General features: G+C 40.8%; 1 protein-coding gene across 13 annotated transcripts in view, besides 1 other annotated feature; it reads right to left on the bottom strand.

The window, feature by feature from the left end:
• The window catches only part of NUBPL (NUBP iron-sulfur cluster assembly factor, mitochondrial), a 299,821-nt gene that overhangs the window by 233,999 nt on the left and 49,642 nt on the right, over nucleotides 1-16,180 (bottom strand). The window contains exon 5 of one of the 13 annotated variants that reach the window (XM_047431789.1): nucleotides 13,303-13,753. The exons of the other annotated variants lie outside the window; for them this stretch is intronic. Coding sequence (XP_047287745.1) covers nucleotides 13,638-13,753 — 116 coding nt within the window. The 3' untranslated portion in view covers nucleotides 13,303-13,637. Of the gene's footprint in view, nucleotides 1-13,302; nucleotides 13,754-16,180 lie in introns of those variants that run through there. 13 annotated transcript variants of the gene reach the window in all.
• Nucleotides 5,590-6,089: an enhancer, noted in NCBI's record as "H3K4me1 hESC enhancer chr14:32090343-32090842 (GRCh37/hg19 assembly coordinates)". NCBI's record gives its function as "activates a minimal SCP1, AML or CMV promoter by ChIP-STARR-seq in naive H9 embryonic stem cells {active_cell/tissue: H9 hESC(naive)}" and the evidence as "EXISTENCE:reporter gene assay evidence [ECO:0000049][PMID:30033119]".

The raw sequence follows: 16,180 nt of genomic DNA, 5'->3' as shown, positions 1-16,180 counted from the left end.
GTAAAGCGGGGAAATTAAAAAGGAAAAAAATCATTTCAATTCCCTTTTTTCCTCCCACATTTCAGATTGTACAATAATACTGATAAAATACTAATGAAAACAATATGCACTGGTGCTTACCATGTGCTAGATAGAGTTTAAAGTACTTTGTTCATAACTCTGAATTATCTACTAATAAGGTAACAACTACCAATAGCTCCTCCCAGACCTTTTTTTATTCCATGGGTCTACGGTAAGCCTGGAAATCTGTATATTTAACAAGCAGTGTAGATGATTCTGATGTACTCCCTTCATGATGTTTGGGAACCAATGTCCCTGAAATGTGGTTCCCATGAAGACACCCTTCTGGGCTTTCAATTCTGTCAGTAACTATTACATGATTACAAGCAAATCACTCAACCCTGGTAATAATCATATATGAATTAATCTCTCCAAAGGACTTTCCATTTCTAACATTTTATGTTGTTATGCTCTATTTATAATCTAAATTAGGAACCTTAAGAACACAAACTGGTGAGAAGTCTCACTCCTCACCTGTGAGTCAAACCTGGGATTAGATATTAGACAGGTGTAGCTCGTTTTGGCAAGAAGTGGCAAGAGAAAAAGCCAACTCTAGGACCATCTTACATATTCTCTAAACAACTCTCAGATTGCCACAACCCTAGGTTACTTACTGCCATTTCCAATCTCTGCCTGGAATTACAAAGCAGCAGCAGTAGATAAAAAGGAAAGAGGAAGGTTACAGAGATTATATGTCTGTGAGGCACATTCTAAAGCTAAACAGTGGGCCAGGTGCGGTGGCTCATGCCTATAATCCCAGCACTTTGGGAGGACAAGGCAGGCGGATCACCTGAGGTCAGGAGTTCGAGACCAGCCTGATCAACATGGTGAACCCGTCTCTACTAAAAATACAAAAATTAGCCAGGCGCTGGGACTACTACTAAGGAGGCTGAGGCAGGGGGATCGCTTGAACCCAGGAGGCAGAGTTTGCAGTGAGCAGAGATCACACCACTGCACTCCAGCCTGGGTGACAGAGCAAAAAACAAAATAAAAAAATAAAATAAAATAAAATAAGATAAAGGTAAATGGCTACTTTGGTGTGGAGGTAATAAAAGGTGATTTATAAATAAAATATCCCACACATATTTTGTTCATAATAGATGGAATATATGGCCCACAGTTTTGCTGTCAGTTTTTTAATCAAAATTAAAAAGATAAACATGATCTTTCCATTACCTTTTTAAAAATATACCCAACTCTCTTGTTTCTCTTTATGCTCTTTGATTGCAAGCCTTATCGGGGTACAGGGTTGACAGGACTACATCATAGAAAGACTGGAAGTTCCTCTGTTTCCATGGTCTTCTGTTCATTCCCTACTATTTACTATGGTACTTAATGTGTTGACATTTTTTCATCTCCCCCACTGGACTATGAACCCCTCAGACATAGCAGCCGGGCACAGTGGCTTATGCCTATAATTTCAGCACTTTGGGAGGCTGAGGCTGGCAGATCACTTGAAGTCAGGAGTTTGAGACCAGCCTGGCCAATATGGTGAAACCCTGTCTCTACTAAAAATACAAAAGTGAGCCAGGTGTGGTGGCATGCCCCTGTAGTCCCAGCTACTCAGGAGGCTGAGGCAGGAGAATCACTAGAGCCTGGGAAGCAGAGGTTGCAGTGAGCAGAGATCATGCCATTGCACTCCAGCCTGGGCGACAAGAGCAAGACTCCCTCTCAAAAAAAAAAAAAAAGAAAGAAAAGAAATAGAATTTATATCTTACCCACTTCTTATCCCTAGAGCATAGCAATGTACTAGGCTAGAGATACTCAATAGATTCCCAAATGATTGATTTCCTAAGGGTCACACATAGTATGTTGCTTCGAGAAGCACAATGTTAAGTTGTGCTCAGATGTCTTCAACATAACAGTTTCATAAACTGAAATTTTGAACATACTGTCAAATCTAAAATGTAATTTTCAATTATTATCCTATTTAGCCATGCTAAAAATGTTAACCACTTCCTCCCAAAACTCCCTGCTTCCTTGGCTTCTAGGGTACAGTTCTTTCCTGGTCTTCTTTCTACTTCTCTGATCACCTCTTCATACCCTTTCTCTGATGACCTTAGGCTAATATTTCCCAAAATTCTACCCTCAATCCTATACTTGACTCCCTCTAAAACTCTTTTGGGTTATGTTGTCTAATCATGGTTTCTCAACCTGAACACAACTGCCATTTTGGACTGGATAATAATTTGTTGTGGGAGAGTGTCTTGTGCATTGGAGGATATTAGCAGCATCTCTGGCCTCCACCTATAAGATGTCAGTAGCATCCCCAAGATTTGACAATCAATAATGTCTTCAGTTGGCCAGGCACGGTGGCTCACACCTGTAATCCCGGCACTTTGGGAGGCCAAGGCAGGCGGATCACTTGAGGTCAGGAGTTCAAGACCAGCCTGGCCAACATGATGAAACTCTGTCTCTACTAAAAATACAAAAATTAGCTGGGCATGGTGGCAGGCGCCTGTAATCCAAGCTACTCGGGAGGCTGAGGCAGAAGAATTGCTTAAACTCAGGAGGCGGAGGTTGCAGTGAGCCGAGATTACATCACTGCACTCCAGCCTGGGCAACAGAGTGAGACTCCATCTCAAATAAATAAATAAATAAATAAAGTCTTTAGTCATTGCTAAATGTCTTCTACACATCAAAATCACCTCTGGTTGAGATTCATTGATCTCAACTAACAACTCCAACTATTTAATATTACCTATACTGCTAACTCACAAATGTGTATCTTTAACCCAAACCTCTCTCCTTAATTCCAAACACATATCCAACCATCTGTTGACTAATTCTGTCTAGGCATCAACCAAATTCAACATATCATAACCTAATTCATCATTTAAGAATACATTTCTTAAATGTATTCCTTTTTCCTATCTGCTCTATCCTGATGGATAATATATCTACATAGTCATCCAACTCAGAAAATCAAGGGCCATTCAGAGACCTTTTTCTCAGTCATACTCAATAAATTACCAAGGTCTATTCATCCATTCTCTTTAATACCTCACAATTAGGTCTCCTCCTCTCCATTTCTATCACTTCAGACTTAAATCAGGACTTATTACATCTCACCTGGATCACTGCATAACATCCCAACTGGCCCCTACATCGCATCTAGTCCTATTACGTTTCCTTCACAATGCTGTCAAAATGTTCCTCCCAGAATGCAAAACTGAGTGTCACTCCCTTACCTAAAATCCATGATAGCATCTCATAGTGTCTGAATCACACACTTCAACTCTTCAAACAAACCCAAGAGGGTATTTATGACAGGACTCTCAATTACCTTTCTGGCCCTGCTCTCACTCTTGCAACTCAACCTCAAAGACTTTTACTTTAACCATGCCCAAAAGCTTACATTGTGCAACTTTTAACACCTGCTATTCCCCCTCCCTTGATTGCCATACGTATTAGTCCGTTTTCATACTACTATAAAGAACTACCTAAGACTGGGTAATAAAGAAAAGAGGTTTAATTGACTCATAGTTCTGTGTGACTGGACAGGCCTCAGGAAACTTACAATCATAGCAGAAGCCTAAGTGGAAGCAAAGCACGTCCTACATGGCAGCAAAAAAAGAAAGAAAGAGACAGGGGCTCACTCATTATCATGGGGGGATCCCGCATGATCCAATCACCTTCCATCAGGTCCTGCCCTTGACACATGGGGATTACAATTCAACATGAGATCTGGGTGGGGACACTGAACCAAACAATATCATTCCCCCAGCCCCACCCAAATCTTATGTCCTTCTCATATTTCAAAACCAATCATGCCTTCCTAACAGTCCCCCAAAGTCTTAACTCATTCCAGCATTAACTCAGAAGTCCAAGTTCAAAGTCTCATCTGAGCCAAGGCAAGTCCCTTCCACATATGAGTCTGTAAAATCAAAAAGAAGTTAACTACTTGCAAGATACAATGGGGGTACTGGCATTGCATAAATGATCCCATTCTAAATGGGAGAAATTGGCCAAAACAAAGGGGCTACAGGCCCCATGCAAGTCCAAAATCCAGTAGGGCAGTCATTAAATTTTAGAGCTCCAGAATAAACTCCTTTGACTCCATGTTTCACATCCAGGACATGCTGATGCAAGGGGTGGGCTCCCGAGGAGTTGGGCAGCTCCACCCCTGTGGCTCTGCAGAGTACAGCCCCTGTGGCTGCTTTCATGAACTGACATTGAGTGACTACGGCTTTCCCAAGCACACGGTGCAAGCTGTTGGTGGATCTACCATTCTGGGGTCTGAAGGACAGTAGCCCTCTTCTCATAGCTCCTCTAGGAAGTGCCCCAGTAGGGACTCTGTGGGGGCTCCAATCTAACATATCCCCCTCTGCATTGCCCTAAAAGAAGTTCTCCATGGGGGCTCTGCCCCTGCAGCAGACTTCTGCCTGGACATCCAGGCATTTCCATACATCCTCTGAAATCAAGGCAGAGCTTCCCAGAGCTGAACTCTTGTCTTCTGAGCACTTGCAGGCCCAACAGCATGTGGAAGCTGCCAAGATTTGGAGTGTGCACCCTCTGAAAGAATGGCCTGAGCCATACCTTGGCGTCTTTTAGCCACAGCTGGAGCTAGAGTGTCTGGGATGTAGGGTGCCATGTCCCAAGGCTGCAAAGACCAGTGGAGTCCTGGGCCTGGATCATAAAACCATTTTTCCCTCCTAAGCCCGTGATGGGAGGGGCTGCCATGAAGATCCCTGAAATTCTCTGGAGAAATTCTCCCCATTGTCTCGGTGATGAACATTTCGCTCCTCATTACTTGCGCAAATTTCTGCAGCCAGCTTGAATTTCTCCCCCCAAAAAAACGAGTTTTGCTTTCCTACCGTATGGTCAGGCTGCAATATTTCCAAACTTTTATGCTCTGCTTCCCTTTAAACTAAGTTCAAATTTCAGACCATCTCTTTGTAAATGCATATGACTGTATGCTTTCAGAAAAGGCCAGGTCACATCTTGAATGCTTTGCTGCTTAGAGATTTCTTCTGCCAGATATCCTAAATCATCACTCTCAAGTTCAAAGTTCCACAACTCTCTAGGGCAGGGGCAAAATGCCACCAGTCTCTTTGCTAAAGCATAGCAAGAGTGACCTTTACTCCAATTCCCAAGAAGTTCCTCATCTCCATCTAAGACCACCTCAGCCTAAACTTCATTGTGCATATCACTATCAGCATCTTGGTCAAAACCATTCAACCAGACACTAGGAAGTTCTAAACTTTCCCATATCTTCCTATCTTCTTCTGAGCCCTCCAAACTATTCCAACCTCTGCATGTTACCCAGTTCCAACCTCACCTCCACATTTTAAGGTTATCTTTAGAGGAGTACCCCACTCTACCGGTACCAATTTCCTGTATTAGTCCATTTTCACACGTCTATAAAGAACTACCTAAGACTGGGTACTTTATTTTAAAAAAGACGTTTAGGATTTGCTGGCAAGACGGCTGAATAAGAACAGCTCCAGTCTGCAGCTCCCAGCGAGATCGACGCAGAAGGCGGGTGATTTCTGCATTTCCAACTGAGGTACCCAGTTCATTTCATTGGGACTGGTTGGACAGTGGGTACGGCCCATGGAGGGTGAGCCAAAGCAGGGTGGGGCATCACCTCACCTGGGAAGCACAAGGGATCAAGGGATTTCCCTCCCCCAGCCAAGGGAAGTGGTGAGAGACTGTACCAAGAGGAACTGTGCACTCCAGCCCAAATACTGCACATTTCCCACGGTCTTCGCAACTGGCAGACCATGAGACTCCCTCTGGCACCTATGTATGCCACCAGGGCCCTGGGTTTCAAGCACAAAACTGGGAGGCCACTTAGGCAGACACCGAGCTACCTGGAGCAGTTTATTTTTCATACCTCAGTGGCACCTGGAACGCCAGTGAGAAAAAAAACCGTTCACTCCCCTGGAAAGGGGGCTGAAGCCAGGAAGCCAAGTGGTCTGGCTCGGCAAGTCCCACCCCACGGAGCCCAGCAAGCTAAGATCCACTGGCTTGAAATTCTCATGCCAGCACAGCAGTCTGAGGTCAACCTGGGACGCTCGACCTTCGTAGGGGGAGGAGCATCTGCCATTGCTGAGCCCTGAGTAGGCGGTTTTACCCTCACAGTGTAAACAAAGCCGCCAGGAAGTTTGAAGTGGGTGGAGCCCACCGCAGCTCAGCAATGCTGGTGCGGCCATACTGCCCCTCTAGATTCCTCCTCTCTGGGCAGGGCATCTCTGAAAGAAAGGCAGCAGCCCCAGTCAGGGACTTATAGATAAAACCCCCATCTCCCTGGGACAGAGCCCCTGGGGGAAGGTGCGGCTGTGGGCGCAGCTTCACCAGACTTAAACATCCCTGCCTAACAGCTCTGAAGAGAGCAGCAGATCTCCCAGCACAGTGTTCGAGCTCTGATAAGGTGCAGACTGCCTACTCAAGGGGGTCCCTGACCCCTGTGTATCCTGACTGGGAGACACCTCCCAGTAGGGGCCAACAGACACCTCATACAGGACAGCTCTGGCTGGCGTCTGGTGGGTGCCTCTCTGGGATGAAGCTTCCACAGGAAGAAACATGCAGGAATCTTTGCTGCTCTGCAGCCTCTACTGGTGATACCCAGGCAAACAGGATCTGGTGTGGACCTCCAGCAAACTCCAGCAGACCTGCAGCACAGGGGCCTGACTGTTAGAAGATAAAGTAACAAACAGAAAGGAATAGTATCAACATCAACAAAAAGGACAACCACTCAGAGAACCCATGCAAAGGACACTAACATAAAAGACAAAAGGTAGATAAATCCACAAAGATGGGGAGAAACCAGTACAAAAAGGCTGAAAATTCCAAAAACCAGAATGCCTCTTCTCCTCCAAAGGATCACAACTCCTTGCAAGCAAGGGAACAAAACTAGACAGAGAATGAGTTTGACAAATTGACAGTAGTAGGCTTCAGAAGGTGGATAACAAACTCCTCTGAGCTACAGGAGTATGTTCTAACCCAATGGCAGGAAGCTAAGAACCTTGAAAAAACGTCAGATGAATTGCTAACTAAAATAACTGGTTTAAAGAACATAAATGACATGATGGAGCTGAAAAACACAGCACAAGAACTTCATCAAGCATATACAAGTATCAATAGCTGAATTGATCAAGCAGAAGAAAGGATATCACAGATTGAAGATCAACTCAATGAAATAAAGCAAGAAGAGAAGATTAGTGAAAAAAGAGTTAAAAGAAGCAAACAAAGCCTCCCAGAAATATGGGACTATGTAAATAGGCCAAATCTACATGTGATTGGCGTACTTGAACATGACAGGGAAAATGGAACCAAGTTGGAAAACACTCTTCAGTGTTTTCCAGGAGAACTCCCCCAACCGAGCAAGGCAGGCCAACATTCAAATTCAGGAAATACAAAAAACACCAAAAACACACTCCTCGAAAAGAGCAACCCTAAGGCACATAATCGTAGGATTCACCAAGGTTGAAATAAAGGAAACAATGCTAAGGGCAGCCAGAGAGAAAGGCCGGGTTACCCACAAAGGGAAGCCAATCAGACTAACAGCGGATCTCTCAGCAGAAACCCTACAAGCCAGAAGAAAGTGGAGGCCAATGTTCAACATTCATAAAGAAAAGAATTTTCAACCCAGAATTTCATATCCAACCAAACTACATTCATAAGCAAAGCAGAAATAAAATCCTTTACAAATAGGCAAATATTGAGAAATTTTGTCACCACCAGGCCTGCCTTACAAAAGCTTCTGAAGGAAGCACAAAACGTGGAAAGGAATCACTGGTAACAGCCACTGTAAAAACATGCCAAATTGTAAAGGCCATCGACACTATGAAGAAACTGCATCAACTAATGGGCAAAATAACCACCTAGCATCCTAATGACAGGATCAAATTCACACATAACAATATTAACCTTAAATGTAAATGGGCTAAATGTCCCAATTAAAACACACAGACTGACAAATTGGATAAAGAGTCAAGACCCATTGGTGTGCTGTATTCAGGAGACCCATCTCACATGCAAAGACACACATAGGCTCAAAATAAAGGGAGGGAGGAATATTTACCAAGCAAATGGAAAGCAAAAAAATAGCATGGGTTGCGATCCTAGTCTCTGATAAAACAGACTTTAAACCAACAAAGATCAAAAGAAACAAGGACATTACATAATGATGAAGTCATCAATGCAACAAGAAGAGCTAACTATCCTAACTATATATGCACCCAATACAGGAGCACCCAGATTCGTAAAGCAAGTTCTTAGAGACATACAAAGAGACTTGGACTCCCACACAATAATAGTGGGACACTTTAACACCCCACTGTCAATATTAGACAGATCTACGAGACAGAAAATTCACAAGGATTTCCAGGACTTGAACTCAGCTCTGAGTTCAAGTTAGGACCAAGCAGACCTAATAGACATCTACAGAACTCTCCACCCTAACTCAACAGAATATACATTCTTCTCAGAACCACATCACACTGCTTCTAAAATTGATCACATAATTTGAAGTAAAACACTCCTCAACAAATGCAAAAGAACAGAAATCATAACAAACAGGTTCTGCAACCACAGTGCAATCAAATTAGAATTCAGGATTAAGAAACTCAAAACTGCACAACTACATGGAAACTGAACAACCTGCTCCTGAATGACTACTGGGTAAATAATGAAATGAAGGCAGAAATAAAGAAGTTTGTTATTTGAAACCAATGAGAACAAAGAGACAACATACCAGAATCTCTGGGACACATTTAAAGCAGTGTGTAGAGGGAAATTTATGGCACTAAATGCCCAAAAGAGAAAGCAGGAAAGATCTAAAATTGACACCCTAACATCACAATTAAAAGAACTAGAGAAGCAAGAGCAAACCAATTCAAAAGCCAGCAGAACACAACAAATAACTAAGATCAGAGCAGAACTGAAGGACATAGAGACACAAAACACCCTTCAAAAAATCAATGAATCCAGGAGCTGGTATTTTGAAAAGATTAACAAACTAGATAGACTGCTAGCCAGACTAATAAAGAAGAAAAGAGAGAAGAATCAAATAGATGCAATTAAAAAAGATAAAGGAAATATCACCACTGATCCCACAGAAATACAAACTACCATGAGAGAATACTATAAACACCTCTACGGAAATAAACTAGAAAATCTAGAAGAAATGGATAAATTCCTGGACATACACCTTCCCAAGACTAAACCAGGAAGAAGTCAAATCCCTGAATAGACCAAAAACAAGTTCTGAAATTGAGGCAGTAATTAATAGCCTACCAACAAAAAAAAGTCCAGACCCAGATGGATTCACAGCCTAATTCTACCAGAGGTACAAAGAGGAGCTGGTACCATTCCTTCTGAAACTATTCCAATCAATAGAAAAAGAGGGACTCCTCCCTAATTCATTTTATGAGGCCAGCATCAGCCTGATACCAAAACCTGGCAGAGACACAATAAAAAAAGAAAATTTCAAGCCTATATCCCCGATGAACATCGATGTGAAATTCCTCAGTAAAATACTGGCAAACTGAATCCAGCAGCACATCAAAACACTTATCTACCAAGATCAAGTCAGCTTCATCCCTGAGATGCAAGGCTGGTTCAACATATGCAAATCAATAAACGTGATCCAACACATAAACAGAACCAATGACAAAAACCACACGATTATCTCAATAGATGCAGAAAAGGCCTTCAACAAAATTCAACACCCCTTCCTGCTAAAAACTCTCAATAAACTAGGTATTGATGGAACATATCTCAAAATAATAAGAGCTATTTATGACAAACCCACAGCCAATATCATACTGAATGGGCAAAAACTGGAAGCATTCCCTTTGAAAACTGACACAAGACAAGGATGCTCTCTTTCACCACTCCTATTCCACATAGTACTGGAAGTTCTGGCCAGGGCAATAAGGCAAGAGAAAGAAACATAAAGGGTATTCAATTAGGAAGAGAGGAAGTCAAACTGTCCCTGTTTGCAGATGACATGATTGTATATTTAGAAAGCCCCATCATCTCAGCCCAAAATCTCCTTAAGCTGGTAAGCAACTTCAGCAAAGTCTCAGGATACAAAACCAATGTGCAAAAATCACAAGCATTCCTATACTCCAATAACAGACAAACAGAGAGCCAAATCATGAGTGAGCTCCCATTCACAATTGCTACAAAGAACATAAAATACCTAGGAATACAACTTACAAGGGACATGAAGGACCTCTTCAAGGAGAACTACAAACCACTGCTCAAGAAAATGAGAGGACACAAACAAATGGAAAAAAAAATTCCATGCTCATGGATAGGAAGACTCAATATTGTGAAAATGGCCATACTACCCAAAGTAATTTATAGATTGAATGCTATTCCCATCCAGCTACCATTGACTTTCTTCAAAGAATTAGAAAAAACCTACTTTACATTTCATATGGAACAAAAAAAGAGCCCATATAGACAAGACAATCCTAAGCAAAAAGAACAAAGCTGGAGGCGTCATGCAAGCTGACTTCAAACTATACTACAAGTCTACAGTTACCAAAACAGCTTGGTACTGCTACCAAAACAGATATATACACCACTGGAACAAAACAGAGGCTTGAGAAATAACGCCACACATCTACAACCATCTGATCTTTGACAAACCTGACAAAAACAAGCAATGGGGAAAGGATTCCCTATTTAATAAACAGTGTTAAAAAAAAACTGGCTAGCCATATGCAGAAAGCTGAAACTGGATCCCTTCATTACACCTTACACAAAAATTAACTCAAGATGGATTAAAGACTTAAACGTAAGACCTAAAACCATAAAACCCTAGAAGAAAACCTAGGCAATACCATTCAGGACATAGGCATGGGCAAAGACTTCATGACTAAAACACCAAAAGCCAAAATTGATAAATGGCATCTAATTAAACTAAAGAGCTTCTGCACAGCAAAAGAAGCTATCATCAGAGTGAACAGGCAACCTACAGAATGGGAGAAAATTTTTGCAATCTATCCATCTGACAAAGGGCTAATATGCAGAATCTAAAAGAACTTAAACAAAAAGAAAAAAACAACCCCATCAAAAAGTGGGCAAAGGATATGAAGAGACACTTCTCAAAAGAAGACATTCATGTGGCCAACAAACATATGAAAAAAATCTCATCATCACTGGTCATTAGAGAAAAGCAAATCAAAACCACAATGAGATATCATCTCACGCCAGTTAGAATGGCGATCATTTAAAAGTCAAGAAACGAGATGCTGGAGAGGATGTGGAGAAATAGGAACGCTTTTACACTGTTGCTAGGAGTGTAAATTAGTTCAACCATTGTGGAAGACAGTGTGGTGATTCCTCAAGGATCTAGAACCAGAAATAGCATTTGACCCAGCAATCCCATTACTGGGTATATACCCAAAGGATTATAGATCATTCTACTATAAAGACACATGCACACGTATGTTTATTGCAGCACTGTTCACAATAGCAAAGACTTGGAACCCACCCAAATGCCCATCAATGATGGACTGGATAAAGAAAATATGGCATGTATATATCATGAAATATTATGCAGCCATAAAGAAGGTGAGTTCATGTCCTTTGCAGGAACATGGATGAAGCTGGAAATCATCATTCTCAGCAAACTAACACAGGAATAGAAAACCAAACACCACATGTTCTCACTCATAAGTGGGAGTTGAACAATGAGAACATATGGACACAGGGAGGGGAACATCACACACTAGGGCCTGTCAGTGAGTTGGGGGGGCTAGGGTAGGGATAGCATTAGGAGAAATACCTAATGTAGATGATGGGTTGATAGGTGCAGCAATCCACCATGGCACGTGTATACCTATGTAACAAACCTGCACGTTCTGCACATGTACCCCAGAACTTAATGTATAATAATAATAAAAAAGGTTTAATTGACTCACAGTTCTGCATGGCTGGGGATGCCTCAGAAAACTTACAATCATGGTGGAAGGCAAAGTGGAAGCAAGGCACGTCTTACTTGGTGGCAGGAGAGAGAGAGAGGGGAAGTGCCATACTTTTAAAACCCTCAGATCTAATGAGAACTCACTCACTATCATGAGAACAGCATGGGAGAAACCACCCCCATGATCCAGTCACCTCCCACCAGGTCCATTCCTCAACACATGAGGATTACAATTCAACATGACATTGGGGTGGGGATACAGAGCCAAACTATATCACCATCCTCATTGTCAATCCTCAATACCTTCTTACAACAGACTCCTGGCTTATCTACTTTGCAAAGTTTAGCCCAAGAATCATCTCTTCCAAAAAATCTCAAAGCTCCAGTTTCATTTAGTTACCATCTCTAGGTTTACACACACACAAAAACACTTATATTTCTATTACAGCATGTACTGATGCTTATAATCAATGGCTAGTATGTCTACTGTAAGTTCACAGAGAAAGACCAAATCTGATTTGATAACCATATAACCAAGTATTTCTCATGCCGACTAACTACACAAAAGACAGTCATAAAGGTCTACTAAATAAACAGAAATAATGTCTCCTTTAATGTATCACTTTTGACCCAACTGAAAATTTTAACACTAGGTTTAAAATAATCATAAGTTTTTAAGAGCAAATTTCATAATTTTTTAAGAAAATCATAAGTTTTCAAGCCAGTGCTAGTTAAGTTGCATGTAAAAAAATTAAAAATATGTTCTACTTAAATATACACATGTATGTGTGTCTGTGTATGTGTGTGTATGTGTGTATAACCTTTTTCACCCACTGTGATAAACATTTATAAGAAAAAAGCCCTAAATGTTCCTCCAAAGGCTATGCTACTTACTAATATATTCAAAGAGAGCTGTCTAAACTCAGTACTTTCTGATTATTAAAACTGGTATCTCAATTTTTAGTTGCTATTCTTGCCCAACAATAGTAGTTGTAATCTGACAGTAAGAATAATCCTGCTATTGTGAGGCTTCTGTGTTAAATGTATTATACAATCATTTATTTGTTTGAAACAAAAAAACTTGCTTACAGAAGAACCAAATGATTATCAGTTAAAACTTAGCCCCTATATTAGGGTTCTAATCCCCACAATACTACTGTATTTAAAACTGACCAGCATTACATATCCCCCATAAGCCCCATCCATAAAGAAGTCAACGTTTCAGTTCTGGACTTTGATACTACCAAATTTTATATTTTAAAAATCAAAAATTATCAAATAGATGCAATAAAATGAATACAAACATACACAAGCCATTTTATTTTCTATATATATATATATCTCTTATTGAAGACTTCTTTTTTAATTTTTTATTTTTAATTTTTGTGAGTACATAGTATGTATATATTTATGGGGTACATGAGACGTTTTGATATAGGCATACAATGTGTAATAATCACAACATGGAGATAGGGTACCATCCTCTCAAGCATTTATCCTTTGTGTTGTAAACAATCCAATTAGGCCGGGCGCAGTGGCTCACACCTGTAATCCCAGCACTTTGGGAGGCTGAGGCAGGAGGATCACAAGGTCAGGAGTTCAAGACCAGCCTGGCCAACATGGTGAAACCCCATCTCTACTAAAAATACAAAAATTAGCTGGGCATGGTGGTGCGTGCCTATAATCCCGGCTACTTAGGAGGCTGAAACAGAAGAATTGCTTGAACGGGAACCTGGGAGGCAGAGGTTGCTGTGACCTGAGATCGCACCACTGCACTCCAGCCTGGGCTAAGGAGCGAGACTCCACCTCAAAAAAAAAAAAATCCAATTACACTCTCTTAGTTATTTTTAAATGTACAATAAGTTATTACGGACTACAGTTACCTTGCTGTGCTATCAAATAGTTCATCTATTCATTCTTCCTAACCATCTTTTTGTATCCATTAACCATCCCCACATCCCCTCAACTCCCCTACTACCCTTCCCAGCCTCTGGTAACGATCCTTCTACTCTCTCTGTCCATGAGTTCAATTGTTTTGATTTTTAGATCCCACAAAGAGGTGAGAATATGCAATGTTTATCCTTCTGTGCCTGGCTTATTTCATTTAACATAATGATCTCCAGTTCCATCCATGTTGTTGCAAATAACAGGATCTCGTTCCTTTTTATGGCTGACTAGTACCCATTGTGTATACGTACCACATTTTCTGTATCCATTCATCTGTTGATGGACACTTAGGTTGCCTTCAAATCTTAGCTATTGTGAACAGTGCTGCAACAAACATGGGAGTGTAGGTATCTCTTCAATATACTGATTTCCTTCCTTTTGGGTATATACCCAACAGTGGGATTGCTGGGTCATATGGTAGCTCTATTTTTTGTTTTTTTGAGGAACTTCCAAATTGTTCTCCATAGTGGTTCAACCACTATGTACACCAACAGTATACAAGGGTTCCCTTTCCTCCACATCCTTGCATTTGTTATTTTCTGCCTTTTGGATATAAGCCATTTTAACTAAAGGGAGATGATATCTCACTGGAGTTTTGATTTGCATTTCTCTGATGATCAGTAATGTTGAGCACCTTTTTTTTTCTTTTCTTTTCTTTTCTTTTTTTTTTCTGAGACAGAGTCTTGCTCTGTTGCCAGGCTGGAGTGCAGTGGCACGATCTTGGCTCACTGCAACCTCCGCCTCCTGGGTTCGAGCAATTCTCCTGCCTCAGCCTCCTAAGTAGCTGGGATTACAGGCACATGCCACCACGCCCAGCTAATTTTTGTATTTTTAGTAGAGATGGGGTTTCACCATGTTGGCCAGATGGTCTCTATCTCTTGACCTCATGATCCGCCCGCCTTGGCCTCCCAAGTGCTGGGATTACAGGCGTGAGCCACTGCGCCCAGCCTGTTGAGCACCTTTTCATATGCCTGTTTGCTATTTGCATGTCTTCTTTTGAGAAATGCCTATTCAAATCTGTTGTCCATTTTTTATCAGATTATTAGATTGTTTTCCTATAGATTTGTCTGAGCTCCTTATATCAGGTTGGTGCAAAAGTAATTGCAGTTTTTGCCATTAAAATTAATGTACAAAGTAATATATTCATTATTAATGTCTTGTCAGATGTGTAGTTTGCAAATATTTTCTCTCATTCTGTGGGTTGTTCTTTACTTTGTTGATTGTTTCCTTTGCTCTGCAGCAGCTTTTTAACTTGATGCTATACCATTTGCCCATTTTTGCTTTGGTTGCCTGTGCTTGTTGGGTATTGCTCAAGAAATGTTTGTTGAAGCCAATGTCCTGGAGATCTTTCCCAATGTTTTCTTTTAGTAGCTTCACAGTTGAAGGTCTCAAAGTTTTTCATCCATTTTTATTTGATTTTTGCATATGGTGAGAGATAGGGGTCTAGTTTCATTCTTTTGCATACAAATATCCAGTTTTCCCAAAACAATTTATTAAAGAGACCATCTTTTCCCCCACTGTATGCTCTTGGAAACTTTGTCGAAAATGAATTCACTGCAGGTGTGTATATTTGTTTCTGGGTTCTTTATTTGGTTCTATTCGTCTGTGTGTCTGTTTTTATGCCAGTACCATCCTGTTTTGGTTACTACAGCTCTGTAGCATAATTTGAAGTCAGGTAATGTGATCCCTCCAGTTTTGTTCTTTTTGCCTAGATTAGCTTTGGCTATTCTGGATCTTCTGTGGTTCCATATAAATAGTAGAATTGTTTTTCTATTTCCATGAAGAATGATATTGGTATTTTGATAGGGATTGCATTGAATCTGTAGATTGCTTTGAATAGTAGGGACAATTTAACAATATTGATTCTTCCAATCCATGAACATGGAAAATCTTTCCATTTTTTGTGTGTCCCATTCAGTTATTTGCATCAGTGTTTTACAGTTTTCATTATAGACATATTTTGCTTTTTTGGTTAATTCCTAAGTATTTAATTTTATGTGTGGCTATTATAAACGGGATTATGTTTTTCTTTCTAAGATTGTTCACTGTTGGCATATAAAAATGCTACCAATTTCTGCAAGTAGATTTTGTATCCTGCAGCTTTACTGAACTTGTTTATCAGTTCTAATAGTTTTTTTGTGGAGTCTTTAGGTTTTTCCAAATATAACATTAAAGCATCTGCAAACAAGAATAATTTGACATCTTCCCTTCCAATTTGGATGTCCCTTATTTCATTCTCTTGTCTGATTGCTCTAGCTATGACTTCCAGTACTATGTTGAATAACA

The sequence above is a fragment of the Homo sapiens genome, chromosome 14, assembly GCF_000001405.40.
Source record: "Homo sapiens chromosome 14, GRCh38.p14 Primary Assembly".
In the NCBI taxonomy this organism is placed as follows: Eukaryota; Metazoa; Chordata; class Mammalia; order Primates; family Hominidae; genus Homo; species Homo sapiens.
Note: the sequence above shows the minus strand (reverse complement) of the source record. Positions and strands in the feature narration are given on the sequence as shown.